General features: G+C 39.7%; 1 protein-coding gene and 1 pseudogene across 23 annotated transcripts in view, besides 1 other annotated feature; both read right to left on the minus strand.

The window, feature by feature from the left end:
• NMNAT3 (nicotinamide nucleotide adenylyltransferase 3) overlaps positions 1 to 17,189 on the minus strand; it is a 117,871-nt gene that overhangs the window by 42,348 nt on the left and 58,334 nt on the right.
• Positions 5,314 to 5,833: an enhancer, noted in NCBI's record as "OCT4-NANOG hESC enhancer chr3:139326683-139327202 (GRCh37/hg19 assembly coordinates)". NCBI's record gives its function as "activates a minimal SCP1, AML or CMV promoter by ChIP-STARR-seq in naive H9 embryonic stem cells {active_cell/tissue: H9 hESC(naive)}" and the evidence as "EXISTENCE:reporter gene assay evidence [ECO:0000049][PMID:30033119]".
• On the minus strand, positions 7,142 to 7,412 carry RN7SL724P (RNA, 7SL, cytoplasmic 724, pseudogene; annotated as a pseudogene).

Below are 17,189 nucleotides of genomic sequence, written 5' to 3' on the forward strand. Positions count from 1 at the left end.
CCAGATTGTAACCAAATCTGCTTACTGGCAGTGAGGTTTAGGCACTTTAATTATTCACAAGCATCCCAGGCAATTCTTATGTGCTAGTGGAGAACCACAGATTGGCATTGGCTATAGAGAGACCACTTCCTTTCAGTCATCCAAGGTTATTTTATTAACTTAGCACTGGGCTCCAACGTAAACAAGGGCTACTTTTCTATAATGATCAAATTACTAATTTTATAAGTATAGAATAAAAGGATATGGGTTTCTTAGATTGTAAATGTTTGATGTAGTTAATGCAATTTCATTTTTGAGGTTTGTTTCTAATAATACTCTTAATTTACATGTCTAATGGATTCCTTGTACACAATTCTGATCATGTAAATTTAAGATGATCTTTTCCACTTTGCAATACAAGACATTTAAAATAACCTAAAGTTGCCCATTCTCACTAAGCACCTGAAAATTAGTCCCTGTGGGGAAACTTTTTTCAAGTTTTATTTTTCTTTTTATTTCAAGTGTTGTTTATATTGTTTCTCTAACTGTTCTACCTAATGATTGATAGGCACCTACCTTCCCCAAAGAAAAAGGGTTAAGTGATCAAATATGTTTGGGAAACACGAGGGCAAACAAAGTGAAACAGACTTTTACTGCAGATTGCGGATCCTTTGAGAGCCCTTAATGTGCACAGTAATTCTCCAAGAAGGGGACAGAAGTCCCTGGGCTTCCCATGCTTGTTTAGTTTTTATGGATCCCTCTGCTGGATGAGTGTTCACAGGACCACACTTTGTGAAATACTCAGTCAGCTCTATCAGCAAATTATATCACGGGAATTGGTTACTTTCATTTGGATGCTTTGCCCATGTTACCCAGACTTAGGAAAATATTTTACAATTTGGGGTGTATATGAGATATTTGGGGGCATTTTCTCCAATATCAACTTCCTGCTTCTGAAATTCAGGTTAAAACACTGACCTAAATTACGGAAATCACAATCTCCTTCACCATCACCAACAGTGCCACCATCATCAAATCATGATCAGCATCGACCAACACGATGATTCCCACTACCACTATCACATTAATAGCACCACTACCATCCTACCGTGCCCAGCGAGACAACTGCCATCACGGTCACTATGACCAACACCATATTACCACCGCTGCCACTAATATGCCTCATTGCTATGCCAATAATCACTAACAGCATTACCACCACACTCCAACTAACCAATGCTGCTGCCATCATTACTGCCATGATCTGTACTACCACCACTGCCACTAGTGCAAACATCACCACTACTGCTGTTAAAGCAGCCACCACCACTGCACCCACTGTCGCCACTGTCCTTTCCACATCCAGATGAAGAAAGAAGAAGAGATAGAAAGCATAGTTTCATTATTCTAGGTCATATTCAAAGGTTGGTCACTAGATATAATTGCACATATGTTCCCCTAGTTACTATGGCATCCCAATAGCCATCAAGTGGAACCAGACATGGTATCATAGCAGAATCCTGAGGTCTAAGGTCTAGTTTAAATAAGACTTCTGATCCAAGGTAGGGGTCCCTCAATTACCTCTATGACAGGAGGCAAAGATGTCACACACGACTGCATGTCAGCTAAACTCATTGGAAGATTCATTTCTGCCTTCATAAATGTAGACACTGGGCTTCAGCTAGTTGTAAGGGAGCAGCCCCTGGTGCAAGCCACGTAGCAACTAGAGGGGCTTTAAAATCAGCACAAAATTAAGTTTTATTGCTGCTTTGAGGAATGTTCAGGTTGGTGGGAGGGGATTACAGCAGACAAGTGTTTAATTTACTCAACTATATGCTCAAGTTTATGTAACTGAGCTATTTTAAAATTACATTTTATGTATGCATTGCTGTATATATTGCACATATATAAATGTACAATAATAATAAAGAGTGGCATATATGAGTCTCAGGAATTGTGCCAAAGGCTTTACATATACTCTCTTTAATCCTTTTAACTCCTGTATGAAAGGAGTGTGACTGTCATTCTCATTTTCCTAATGAACAAACTGTGGCATGAAGAGGTTAAATAATTAGCCTAAGCTTACAAAGCTAATTAATTGTAAGACTAAGATCTAAACCCAGGTAGTCTGGTTCCAGGGCCCATGATCTTAACCAACACTCTACATTTTAACACACTGTCTGCACATTGTCTACACACAGATGCAGTGTGTGTACATCAGTTGTATAAATATATCATCTTGCATGAAGTAATTTAAGGGATGTTCAAGGATATTGTTGATTATATGCAATTTATCTCATGTGCTGATTTTTAAGCCTAGTCCCAGAGGAAATGCAAGTTCACTGAAATCTAAGGGGGGAAAAAAGACACGAAAAACCAACAAGTGCAAAGCAGTGTGGTGCAGAATGTGGTGGCAGAGCAACAACCACTCTCAGCAAAATCCTCATTAATTCATGCCAGTAAGTATGCAATGAGGAACTGCAGTATGCAGGGCACTGGGTGGGGCGATGCCAGCCCTCCTGATCCTTATCCCATAACTTATCAGGTGTGTTCAAGTTCTTAGTGCGTCTCAAGAAAAAATATCTCAGGTTCGAATTGCTGCAAAGTTTTTCAAGCACATCCACCGATAGCAAGACCCACTGGAGGCAGATCAGCGATGAGTCTGAGGGCGGCACAAAGGGTGCTACCAGGTGATCACCAGTCCTTCCTCCTCATCCTTATTCATTCCTTAGACATCTTGATATTAGAAATTATTGGTTTGTGAATGCACCTATTGTTAACTCTTTCAATATACAAATACATGCAAACATATGTATATTCTACATATATGGACAGGCACAGATTTTTTTTTATGTTGGGCTCCCTCAAACAGAATTAATCTGTGAGGGTATAAACCCACTTCACAATGTCCACAGTGGGGCCAAAACCGCTTTTGAGGTGATCAACTCTATGCTGGGAGCAGGGGAGTTCTGGGCTGAACTCAAAGATGCTTTTCAGCTCTAAAGTACCATCATCATCTTCATCCTCATCTTCCTTTTCTCTTAAGTGCCCAGAATGTGCCAGGCTCTGTGCTGTTTACAGGGTTTATATTCTCACAAAAATCTCAAAAGCCAATTGCCAGAATTTCTCTAAAGTTTCTTAATTGGTTTGGCACAAGCTGGAAATGGTAGTGCTTGGATTTGAAAGCAGGCCCATTTGCCTGGCTTTGAAGTTTTTTTTTTATGTTTTTGGTGCTTGTTTTTACCATACTACGCATCTCTTAAATTCTTTGTCCCTAAAATGGGGGAGGGGGCAATAATGCCAACCTCATGGGATTGTTTTGGCAATTAAATAACAATGTAAAATTCTTTTTGTAAAATTTAAAGAGCCATGCACATATAACATTACTATTATTTTGGCTTCATGTGATTTTTTTTTTTTTCTGTAACAAATTTACTTAAATATCTAGATAATGACTTCAAGAAAATTGTCTTCCTTTGTAATTCTACATATTTTATTTTTAAATAATTTTAGACTTATGAGTGTTTTAAAGATAGTACAAAGAGTTCCCATATATCCTTTATTCAGCTTCTACTAATGTTAATAACTTAAATAACCATGGTACAGTGATCTGAACCAGGAAACTAACATTAATTCAACACTGATCTAGAGACATCATTTCTATTTCCCTATTGTTCCACAGTTCAATCGAGGATCTCACATTGCACATAGTTGTCCTGTATCTACAGTCTCTGCTAATCAAGGACAGCTCCTCAGTCTTCAGCACCTGGGCTTTTACAAAGAGCACTGGTCAGTTATTTTGTAGAACATCCCTCAGTTTGGTTGGTGTTTTCTCATGATTAGATTAAGCTTATTCACCTTAGGCAAGAATACCTCAGAACTGATGCTGTGCTCTTCTCAATACATCCTACATCAGAGGGTACATGATGTTGATTTGTCTTCATTTTGGTCATATTAACTTTGATACTTGGTTGAGTGGTATATTCTAGATTTCTCCACATAAGTTAGTATTTCCCCCTGCGTATCTGTAAATAATATGTGTCCTGTAAGAAAACACTTTGAGATTATGTAAATATCCTGATTCCCATCATATTTCACCTACTAATTTTAGCATCATTGATGATTCTGCTCTGTAACAATTATTACTGTTAAATTAGTTTGTAAAATAGTTATTTTCTATTTCTGACATTCTTTCTACAATATTAATTAGTATTCTACCGTAAGGAAGGATTGACCTTTCTCCTGCATTTCTGTATTCATCTAATCATTTATTTTTGTCAATATGGATTCATGGGTACTTATTTTATTCTGTGGGGTGTAATCCCTTCTCATTATGTATTTTGTTCCTCAAATTATCCCAGATTTGCCCAATGAAAGCTCCTTTAAGTTGGCTCCTGTGGCTTTTTTACATTCTCCCATCATTTAAGCATTTCCTTGCTTTCAGAACTGCAAGATGTTCAGGCTTATCTTGTAAGCTCCCTGCCCCAGCCCTGGAATCAACCATTTCTCCAAGGAGCCCTGGTTTCTTTTATTGAAGAATGGCATTTAGAAACCAAGGGGACTAGCTGTACTCATTGCTACTGGGGTTTCATGGTTTCTAGGCCCTCTTAGAAGGCAAAGCTAGAAAATTTTATATAAATATATAATTATATTAATTATATCTGCAACTATCTATATCTATCCTCAAATGTGTACACACACCACTCTGTACTTATTTCTAAAACTATCCATCTGTATACATATTGAAAACTGTTCATACTGAAACCTCCAATTCCAATACAACACCAAAGAGTTTATTTTAGCCTCCACTCCTTTATTCATAATTCCTTTCTTCAACTTAAGAAACCTGGCTCCATTATCTACAATCATTTACTCAATCTTAGTACTTACATAAAATAGTTTCAAAATTGCTCATCCACACCCCTGTGGAAAACAAATTACTAACTAGTGAACAGGACTTGTGTACACCTTTTCTTGTCCTTAGCCTTGCAGTATCCAATCACAATGCTGCTTTCCATATTACTGAGGTTATTTTCTTTCCTACTGCCCTCAGTGTGGCTATGTATTCATTTGTAATAGAGCCAGGCTCATTTGTTACTATTTGCATTTCATCTTGGGTTCCCCTTGCCTCCTGATTGGCTTTCATTGTATATTTAGTTTTCTGGCATGTGATCCCATTGTTCCAATAGTCAGAGCTATATAAAGAGGAACACTCAGAGAAGGGTCTCTCTGCCCTCATCCTATCTTCTACCCCTTTGCCATTTCCCCATTCTTTCTATTCTGTTCCCATCTACCCGTTGTAAGCCACCAATTTCATTAGTTTATAAAATCTATTCTTAAATGATTTTGTCCTTTTAAGATTTATTTTCCCTATAATTATCAGTAACTCATAAATTTCCCCAAGGCCTAACTCCGTCTTGACAACCCCATCTTTAGGAATATTTATACAGACACATCTATTCAATTCACTTTAATTAATGTCTTTGTGCTGCTGGGAATTTTACCTCACTCTGTTTTATCTGAGGCATCCTGGGTTTTCTGAATGCTCTTTGCATGGTTTCTCTTTATGGTCTGTTTAGCAAAGAAGCCAACTGCTGGTTCTCCACTCTGAATGATCATCGCTTCCCATTTGGAAGACAAAGATGGTTACTGGCCTTGGCATATTAACCCTGGAGCTGCCTCCTCAGGAAGTGAAGAGTTGGGCTTGGCTGGCTGGTATAGCAGCAGCGACAGCAGCAGAGACAGCATGGCCTGCTCAGAAGGGGCGCCCTAGTTGCCAAGGATGAGGGCACTGGCTTTGCACTCTTTGAGACTGGGGCTTTACCTAACAAACACTTGCAAAACTTATTACCCCTCCAGTCCTCAAGTTTCCTTGTACCTATAGAATAGGAATGTTAAAACTTACTTCACACAACTGTTTTGAGGATGAATTGGCTATTTGAAAACTTGGGCACTGGAAGAAGTCCAGTGAAGGACAGTGTCACTTCCGCTGTTCACCCTTTCATGCTTAATTAACATTTAATTAATCAAATATGTTGTTTCTTTTTGTATTTTTTTAACTGAGATAAATGTAGATTTACATATAGTTGTAGAAATAATACAGAATTATCCCGTGTACCCCTTACCTAGTTACCCCCAATGGTAACATCTTGCAATATTATACCACAATGTCACAACCAGGATATTCAGATAGATGTCATCCACTGATCTTACTCAAAATTCACTCATTTTCCATACAGTCCTTTGATTGTGTGGTAGTTCTGTGAAATTTCATCCCATCTGTAGTTTTCATGTAATCATCGCCACAGTCAAGGCACAGAATGCTTCACTTCCATCACTATAAGGAACCCTTGTGTTGCCCTTTTATAACCACACCCACTTCTCTCCTGTCTCCCAAACTCCATCTCTAATCCCTGTTAACCACTGATATGTTCCTTACTTACACAATTTTATCATTTCAAGAAAGTTACAGATATTGAATCACATAGTATGTAACCTTTTAGGATTGGTGTTTTTCACTCAGCATTATTCCCTGGAGATCATCCAAGTTGTTGCACGAATGATTTGTTTCTTTTATTGCTGGGGAGTAGTCTATGGTATGGATGTATCACAGTTTAATTATTCGCCCCTTGAAGGACATTTGGGTGGTTTCTAGTTTCTGGCTATTGTAAATGAAACTGTGATGAACGTTTGTGTACAGGTTTCTGTGTGAACACAAGTTTTCATTTCTCTGGGATAAATGCCTGTGAGTGCAACTGCTGGGTCATATGGCAATTGCATGTTTAGTTTTACAAGAAACTGCCAAACTGCTTTCCAGAGTGGCTGTGCCATTTTAAATTCCCTCCAGCAATTATAAGAGGTGCAGTTTCTCGGCATTCCTTCCAAAATTTGATGGTGTTGCCATTTTTTATCTTAGCCATTTTGGCAGGTGTGTAGTAATATCTTATTGTGGGTTTTACGTTGCATTTCCCTAATTGTTAATGTTGTTAAATATTTTCTCATGTGCTTATCCGCTATCTGTGTATCCTCTTCGTGAAATGGTTCTTCATGTATTTTGTTCATTTCCTGATTGTGTTTTGTTAAATTTTTAAAGTTCTTTAGATATTCTAAACACTAGTCCCTTGTCGGATATGTGGTTTGCAACTTACTTGTTTTTTTTTTAAGAGACAAAATCTTGCTATGTTGCCCAGGCTGAAGTGCAGTGGCTATTCACAAGTGCTATCCCACTATTAATCAGCCCAGGAGTTTTCACCTGCTCTGTTTCTAACCAGGACCTGTTCACCACTCCTTAGGCAACCTGGTGGTCCCCCACTCCCAGGAGGTCACCATACTGATGCAGAACTTAGTGGATCAGCACAGTGCACTACAGCCCAGAACTCCTGGGCTCAAGCGATCCTCCTGCCTAAACCTCCAGAGTAGCTGAGACTACAGGTGCACACATTAAGGAATAAGACAGTAAAACTAAATAAGCAAAAAATAAAACAAATATATGTATTTGTTTTAGTTTTTTATTTGGTTGGGGGAAAAGAGAAGAGGATGGGAAAAGAGGGGAAGAGGTGAGAGGTATCATAATTAGCAAATATATGAGTAATGGTTCCCCATTTTTCATAGCATTGTGTATATCAGCAGTAGTGAGGCAGTGAATTCCAGAATACAGGGGTCTCATGAAGTGTCTGAGGGCCTCAAAATAAAGCACACTCATCTGCAAAGTGCTGTTTATCCCCTGACCTGGTGCAGTCAAGTCTGGTGCTAGAGGACATGCCATGAAAATTTCCTTCTCAGAGACCCTTTCAAGATCTGTTTCATTTAAACCATATCTCAAGATAGACATATTAAAAAGAAGGAAAATGCTGTTTGTTATTAAATCAGGAAAGCATTTTAAAAGAATTTGGAATCTAACATGTGTAGCCTCAAATCCTTGAAGCCTCACATGATATGAAAAAAAATTATCTTGGTTCAAAACAATTGTTGGAGTAATTCAACATTCTTAAAACTATCTTCTCCAGAAAAATCTTTTAAGTTAGAAATGTGAAAATGAATAGTTTTTCAGACCAGGCTGGAGAATTTTCCATGAATATATATTAAAATCACTATATTTGATTAATAAACATCCGTGTGAGCCCAAGATTAAAGCAACATGCTGAGCTTATATAATATTTACTCATGCTCTTGTGGTATCTCCTAAAGCCCAGAAGACCCAGAACTGGGGCTGTCACTGCCTTAAATAGAATTATCATAGCTTAATTTCCCCCTTATCTCAGATTGTACTGCACCACCTTATCATATGCATTTAATTCTCTCCATATTCACTGTGCAATAGAGAATTCAAATTAAAATCACCAAGGTAGCAAAAGTGATATACATCACATTGGACACTGATAAGACATTTTTATTTAACACAGAAAATTGCTGGTGTAAATGATATTACAATAAATATACTTCAATTTAAAATGCAAGTCACTGAGAGGAAAAACTGGGAGCCATAAAATACCTTTCCTCTCCTCAAGGTTGTCCAAAGTTGGTGAGGATGGGGGGGGTGGTGGTGTTAAGAAAAGGACAAGGCTTTGGACTGGGTTGTTATCTTTACGATGCAATTTAATCTGGGATGCCACAAGCACGTGGGGCAGGATCGTTAGGAAATAACATCATAAAGAATCAAGAAAGGTCTAAAAGAAAACAGGAGAAACTGTCTTGAGGCTTTCTTTCTTCCATGCATAGTTATAAGAGTATTATGTTAACCTGTCTGGTCATGGCCACAGGAATAGGAGATGCTTTAACGAAGTGTTGAGTTGGGGCCCACTCAGGATGCAAGAAAAGAGACCAAACATATATTGCATGGGCTAGACAGTTTATGTAGATCATCATATTTAATCCTTAAAATAAATAACCCTGTATGATGAGGATATATTATTCCTAATTCACAATTGAGGAAACACAAGCTAGAGAGATGGGGTAAATTGTTCAAGGTCATACAGCAAGTGAGTTTGACACCAAAATTTGACTCCAAACCTAGTGATCTCTTTCTGTGACACCATGGTCACAAGGAGGGGAGCATGCGCCCTCTGAAGTTCACCAAAATTCTGCAGTTCTTTCTTTTGTGGGTTGTGGCATCTAAGGGAAAGCAGAGATAGAGAAGAGAATCCCAAGACCCAGGAGCAACCAAGTGAGAGCTAAGCTTAGCTGGGCAGTGAGCCAGGGCTGGGTGGGGGGCTTTGTGTTGGCAGGCTGCCAGGCATGGCCTCCTGTATCCTGCCCGTGACAGGACAGAGATTTGGCTGACAGCACATCTGTGCCCATTTCTGCTCCACAAATCAAGAGAACTAGTACTCTTCTTTCTGGGGGTATCTGTTGAGTCGATCATAAAAAAACAATAGAGGGGGGCTGGACGTGGTTGCTTACGCCTGTAATCCCAGCACTTTGTGGGGCTGAGGCGGGCGGATCACCGGAGGTCGGGAGTTCGAGACCAGCCTGACCAACATGCAGAAACCCTGTCTCTACTAAAAATACAAAATTAGCCAGGTGTGGTGGCGCATGCCTGTAATCCCATCTACTTGGGAGGCTGAGGCAGGAGGATTGCTTGAATCCGGAAGGCAGAAGTTGCGGTGAGCCGAGACTGTGCCATTGCACTCCAGCTTGGGCAACAAGAGCAAAACTCCGTCTCAAAAAAAAAAAAAAAATGCATAGAGGATACATTCTGGAGACCATAGTTTGGGACTCTGAACGTGAACTAGAGCAAAATCAGGGAACCGAGTCTAAAACTGATAGTTTCTGATTGCTTCGAAAAAGAGAGGACTGCTCATGGCTAGCAAGAGTTCACTCAGAATAAGTCATTTTCCTACTCGGTAGAGTTTCCAGATGAGCAGGCAAGCAACAGCCATGAATACAGAACCTTATCCAGGCATTTGACAAGGTGTCACAAGATCACCTTGGCAATGAGGTGGGAAATGTATGCTGGACCAGGCTGCAGGCAAATGGAGTTGTATTCTCCCTGTATTCTGCATGCATTCCAGTATGCATTTGGACCAGGTTGCAGGCAGGTAGTCTAAATGCATGCATCCCTCTTCTGGTGAAGTGGGCCTGAATGCTCAGAGTCAGCAAGTCCTATCACTGGATGAGGATCTGGGCTGAGAATCAGGTTGCTGAGAGATTCTAGCAGTTGCTTTTCCACAGGGTGTCTGAAGATTCCTTGCTAAGGCTCCTCCCATGGCCTAGTAAGCACATGGTGAGCGAGTTGGTTAAAGACTTTCCAAAACAGCATGGTACTGGTACCAAAACAGAGATATAGACCAATGGAACAGAACAGAGCCCTCAGAAATAATGCCACATATCTACAACTATCTGATCTTTGACAAACCTGACAAAAACAAGAAATGGGGAAAGGATTCCCTATTTAATAAATGGTGCTGGGAAAACTGGCTTGCCATATGTAGAAAGCTGAAACTGGATCTCTTCCTTACACCTTATACAAAAATCAATTCAAGATGGATTAAAGACCTAAATGTTAGATCTAAAACCATAAAAACCCTAGAAGAAAACCTAGGCAATACCATACAGGACATAGGCATGGGCAAGGACTTCATGTCTAAAACACCAAAAGCAATGGCAACAAAAGCAAAAATTGACAAATGGGATCTAATTAAACTAAAGAGCTTCCGCACAGCAAAAGAAACTACCATCAGAGTGAACGGGCAACCTACAGAATGGGATAAAATTTTTGCAATCTACTCATCTGACAAAGGGCTAATACCCGGAATCTACAATGAACTCAAACAAATTTACAAGAAAAAATCAAACAACCCCATCACAAAGTGGGTGAAGGATATGAACAGACACTTCTCAAAAGAAGATATTTATGCAGCCAAAAGACACATGAAAAAATGCTCATCATCACTGGCCATCAGAGAAATGCAAATCAAAACCACAATGAGATACCATCTCATACCAGTTAGGATGGCAATCATTAAAAAGTCAGGGAACAACAGGTGCTGGAGAGGATGTGGAGAAATACGTACACTTTTACACTGTTGGTGGGACTGTAAACTAGTTCAACCATTGTGGAAGTCAGTGTGGTGATTCCTCAGGGATCTAGAACTAGAAATACCATTTGACCCAGCCATCCCATTACTGGGTATATACCCAAAGGATTATAAATCATGCTGCTATAAAGACACATGCACACGTATGTTTATTGCGGCACTATTCACAATAGCAAAGACTTGGAACCAACCCAAATGTCCAACAATGATAGACTAGATTAAGAAAATGTGGCACATATACACCATGGAATACTATGCAGCCATAAAAAATGATGAGTTCATGTCCTTTGTAGGGACATGGATGAAGCTGGAAACCATCATTCTCAGCAAAGTATCGCAAGGACAAAAAAACCAAACACCCGCATGTTCTCACTCATAGGTGGGAATTGAACAATGAGAACACATGGACACAGGAAGGGGAACATCACACACCAGGGCCTGTTGTGGGGTGGGGGAAGGGGGGAGGGATAGCATTAGGAGATATACCTAATGTAAATGACGAGTTAATGGGTGCAGCATACCAACATGGCACATGTATACATATGTAACTAACCTGCAGGTTGTGCACATGTACCCTAAATCTTAAAGTATAATAATAATAATAAAAAGAGATGCTAGAATAGCAACTGTAAAGACTGATGAAATTTAAAATATCAATTTGCCTTTAGATGTGTATGTATACATTTATGATATTTTACTAAAAAAAAAAAAAACTTTCAATGTGTCCCTTTCACCTAAAGTCCCCATTCCTTATCAGGCATTTCAGACTCCACGATCAAACCCTGACTACTTCCCTACTTTCTGCTAGTCTACCAGACTCTCTGCTCTCACCAAATCTGTGTTTGGGACTTGCCCATTGAGGAGGCCTCATAGAAACCTACTGTTGCCTCTCTGAGCACAAGGCAGTGAGAGAGACACTGGCCTTGGGCCCACAGACCTGGGTTCTCTTTAGCTTGCTTTCTTCTGGAATAGCTCTTTAGTTTGTCTTTCATGACACTGACATTTTGTATAGGCCAATTATTTTGCAGAATGTCCCTCACTTTAGGCTTGTCTGATGTTTCCTCAGGAGGAGGTACAGGGTACGCCCTTCTGGCAGAACCAGCACAGAAGTTGGGGTGGACCCTCCTCGGTGCATCATATCACAACATACATGAGGTCATTATGTCCCATATTGGTGGTGTTAGCTTTGATCACTTGGTTAAGGTTGTATCTGCTACATTTCTCAGCTGTAAAGATATTTTTTCCTGTGGAATTAATCAGTCTATTGTCAGGAGTTACTTGGTGACCGTGTACATATCTTGTTATTTCAACCTGCTAGTATTAAGATTCATTAGTGATTCTTGCATAAATCAATTATTTGGATGGTTGCTAAATGGTGGTTTTCTGATTACACTATTCCTCCTGCATTGGCATTCTACTGTAAGAAAGAGCCTTCCCCTTTTTTGCATTTGTTTGTTCATTTAATTAACCAATATATTTATTGGTTTTAAATCAGTTTAGACTCATAGACTGTAAATGTATTAAATGAGTTATAATCCCTTATTATTTGTTTTTATGTTCAAGTTGTCCTCAGATTTTATTGGTGGGAGACCTTACATTGGCTGTAGTGTCCCTTTGACATGTGCCATTCTTTGAACACTTCCTTACTTTTTGGTACCACAAAATGTTCCAAGTTTATCTTGTATTTTCCATCCCCAGCCCCAGATTCAACCATTTTTCTAAGGAGCTCTTTTAGTATAAAATGGTACTTAGAAACCAAAATTAGGATGCTGGTTTATATTATGGCTACTGGGGTACAACTATTTCTAGGCTCTCTCAGCAGACAGGGCTAAGATAGCGTTGTATGTGTATCTATATAAATATCCACACACATTTTCTATCTATCTATCTATCTATCTATCTATCTATCTATCTATCTATCCATCCACCCACCCATCCATCCATTTATCCATCTACCCACCCACCGACCCACCCACTGTATCTATCCTTTTTATCTTATCTATTCATGAGTTCACCCTGATACCTTTAATTCCAATCCCATATCACAGGACATTTGTAACTTCTCTCTGTCCACATTTGTAGCTTCTTTCTCCAACAGTGAGATGCGTGACTTCCATTATCTATAAGATATGTACTTATTGCTCAATGCTAGTATACACAGAAAGTAGTTTCAGAATGCTAGCGTGTGTATCAGGAAAAAGAAATCTACTTATTAGAGTAGAATATTTGTTTAGAGTTTAATATTTTGTTTTCCATATTTTGCAGTTGCAAGCAATGCAGCCATCAACAATCTTTCAAACATGAAAATTCCTATTTCTAGCTTCTTGTGTGGGAAATTAGAAGGCATGGCCACTCTCCCTTCTGGACAGGGCATGTATGCTCCCCCAGGGCTGCTTGTCTCAATTGTCTCCCCTTGTTATTATGACAAATAATCTCTCCTTGTTCTTATACATTCAACCTCACTTTACCTGGGTCCTTGCCATTCACAAGAGGACTGTTGCTACTAGCCACCTCTATCTCCTCTTCTCCTAGTCTCTCCTGAATGCATAGCCAATCCAGTTGTCAATACCACTGCTTCAACAAAGCCATTCTCCTAGATATCACCAACAAAGCCATTCTCCCAGATATCACCAACAAAGCCATTCTCCCAGACATCTACATTGCTGAACTGCACAGATGTGATTTTTCAGTCTTCATCTAACTCCAATACTAAATTCTTAACACTTAATGCTGGGGATCCTTCATCTTTTCTGTCTTCTGTGACAGAAACTACTCTGGTTCCTCCTATTTCTTGGGTCTTCTTGAACTTCTTTGTAAGCCGATTCTCCTTTGTAAGGCTGTCAAAGCCTGGGGCTCCTCAGGGCTCGTCTCTCCTTACAGGTCTCTCTCACTCTCTCTGTGATCTCATTTACCCCTAAGGATACCTTCATTTATTACCTACAGGTCACTCATAAATGTCTCTCTCCAGTCTTGTATTCTGATAGGTCTCTCAAACTCAGCAAGTGTGAAGGTAAACTTGTCTGTTCCCCAGATCTGGCCCTCCTTCAGGACTCTCTCTTTCTAGTGGGTAGCACTCTCTCTTCCTCACATTCAATCCATTACCAGGTCAATTTTACCTTCTAATTATACCTTCACTGTCAACTTCTGTTTATTGCCATTGTCACCCTCTCATCAAAAATATTGCTTCAACTCCCTCTGAACTGGTTTCTCTTCATCCACTCTTCTCTCTCTCTGTGTGTGTGTGTATGTGCTGCAGGGTGGACGCATATATTCTCATCCTCTCACAGCTCTAGGATTAAAAAGCACATTTTTCACAAATGGCCTGCAAGGCTGTCATGGTTTGCCTCTTTCTGTGTCTCTTGCTTTACCTACTGCAACATGTCCTTTTGCTCTGTGCCTCCTGGTCACTCCTCAGTGGCCACGTTCTCTTCCAATACAGAGTCTTTGCATATGCACTTTCTTAAGCCAAGAATGTTCTTTTTCTGAATCCCCTGACTCCAGCGAACTTCACCTTTAACTTAAGAAGTACCTCATCATTCTCCTCCAGCTCAGTCCTTAACATTCTCAGAAAAACCTTCTCTGGACCCTCTGTCTGCATTAGAATGTCACACTGTTCACACTGATGGCACTGGGAGCGTCCCCCTGAGTGGCATATGTCACCTTGGTAATTTTTGTCTCTGTGGGATTCAGTTAGTGTTTGTCTATTCCAGAACCACAGAGGCTACTTCTGCTCCCATGTATCCTTGCATCGAGTACAACACCCAACACAGGTGGACACGCAATAAAAGATAAGGTGAATGAATGGAGGCTGCATGGCATGGTGGTTATGTGCATGGATTCTGAGGCAAACTGGCTCTAGTACTTTCTGGCTGTGTGATCTCAGGCAAGTTATTCAATCTCTCTGAGCCTTAGCCTCAGCTTCCTCATCTGTAAAATAGGGAGAATAGCAGTACCCACCTGGTAGGGCTGTTATGAAAATTAAATGAGTTCATGTAATGCACTTAGAGCACTACGTGGCAAACAGAAAGGATGACATAAGTGTTTGTTAAATACAGAAAATAAACAAGTGCTAAATAGTTGTTAACTAAATAAGTATTAACTGACAAAGTTCGATTTAAAATAAACACACGTGGATTATTGCTGAAATACAGGCCAATAATTAAGTTATATTGATTAGAAGTAACTAACTGTCTCAATAACAGTAAACAGAATTTAAATGTAATTCAATCTCTATTAGTAAGTTTGTTGGGAAACTTACTTACACGTTGGGAAAACAAGCATTTACAACTGGGAATACATCCAACATCTTAAGAGAAATGCAGGCTTAAATTCTTAAATATTCAATGAATGCTTTAGGTATGTCCAAAGCTACTGACTAGTCATATGTTGTGCTGAATCATTTTCTGTCAAAAATCAGCAAAATAGGAATAAAAATTCCAAATGAACTTTTTAAAACCACCCACATCCACTACACAAATTCATCCATCAAGCCTTTGAGAATCTTCTCTGTGACAACTTGCATAGCACGTGACACAAGGCAAAGATGTACCCATGATTAAAGAACCACACTGTAAAGTAGAGAAAATCCACAGATAACACACAATTGTACCAGCCTATATCTAATTCCCAAACATTCTTTCAAGTAAAGGAGTGTGAAAAAAACAGCTGGGTTCAACATTTTGTCTCTTGAGCACGGATGACTTTGGCAGTGTATTATTAACAATGAAATCTACAGACGTAAGTTCCTTTTTATATAATGCACACTTTTTTCCTCATAAAGAGGTGTGTTATCACAGGACTAAAGATAGTTAAAAGTTTTGATATATTATAGTGTCTCTGTCAGCTTTTAAGGTTATGTTGTTATTTCAGGAGAAAAAGGAAGAAATCAACAAAGGAAGGACAATTGTAGTTTGAAGAAGGAATGCTTGTGAAAGGGGAAAGAGTGCAAGGCCCAAAAGTAGTTAGTGCTACTGCAGCAAACCAGGAAGATACTATTAATTTCTATTTAAAGTTACTAAACAAACTGTTTCAGCTTAATTTGATTTATATGCAAGTAATATTGAATGAAAATTGTGAATTGTTTTAGTGAAAATACACCCACGGAAGAAAGATTTACTTTTCTTAATGAAAAAAGAAAGCTTGGGACCAAAGTTTCATTCAGACTTAATCATGAGTTGATTCAGATGGAGAATAAAGGCACTGTTTAAATTATCTGTCCTTGGAAAGAAGATGGTTCGGGTTATGGCTCGGTGCACAGATCAGCTGGCTGTGGGTAGCAGTGGGTGATGCCTGGCTGTGCAGAGAAGGAAAATTCACTCCACATACTCTCATGGTGGCAAGTGGGTCCATTCTCCTTTATCAACCTCATCTCTATGCCTGAGTCCTCCCCATCTTGTCAGCCTTATGTTTCTCCCGTGCACTGGAACGTGATTCTCCTCCACTGCCGGGTTTTACCCATGCTGCTTTCTGTGCATATATGCTGCCTAAACTGTGCCTGGCTAAACCTCCTCCAGGGAATTTTCCCTAACTCCAGGTGGAAGATGCCCTTCCTTTGCACCTAGCGCCACAATCACCTGCTACCATGTGGTAGGTCTGTCACCACCTATGCTGTGTAATCCTTTTGGGTAGGGGATGCAATTTAACCAACTCTATTTTCAGCAATAGTGCTTGGAAGATGCAGTAAATATCTGTGGAATGTTGAAAGGTGGCAACCCAATGTACAACACTAACATAGGTAGAAGAGTCCATTCTGAACTCTCAAAAATGACCAAGTACTTTCCAGGGAGGGAGGACTGAAAATAAAGGCAAGAGGGTGATTGAGGTCATATGTGACCAAAACCCCTCTACCTACTAGTATTCCAAATGACAGAAATTATATATAATATAAACATATAATGTATCCAGTGTGATCAATTATCTATGTACGCTGTGGTTATCATGGCCTTTGGGGACCAGGAGTACTCTCTGAAATCTCACTGGGCCATGCCAAAGCTTCTCCTGAGGCTAAAGGAGAGCCTGCAAGTCCATCAAGTGTCTTAATACAGTGTGTAGGTAGACCTGTCTGAGAAGCAGCTCATTCTACAAAGTAGAGTACAAGCCCTGCCCCCTGGTAAATCTCACAACAAAGACAACACCCAAGATGCCAGGGGCCTTTCTGACAAGTGAAGGTTGGCA

This window comes from Homo sapiens, chromosome 3 (assembly GCF_000001405.40).
Source record: "Homo sapiens chromosome 3, GRCh38.p14 Primary Assembly".
NCBI classification, from domain to species: domain Eukaryota; kingdom Metazoa; phylum Chordata; class Mammalia; order Primates; family Hominidae; genus Homo; species Homo sapiens.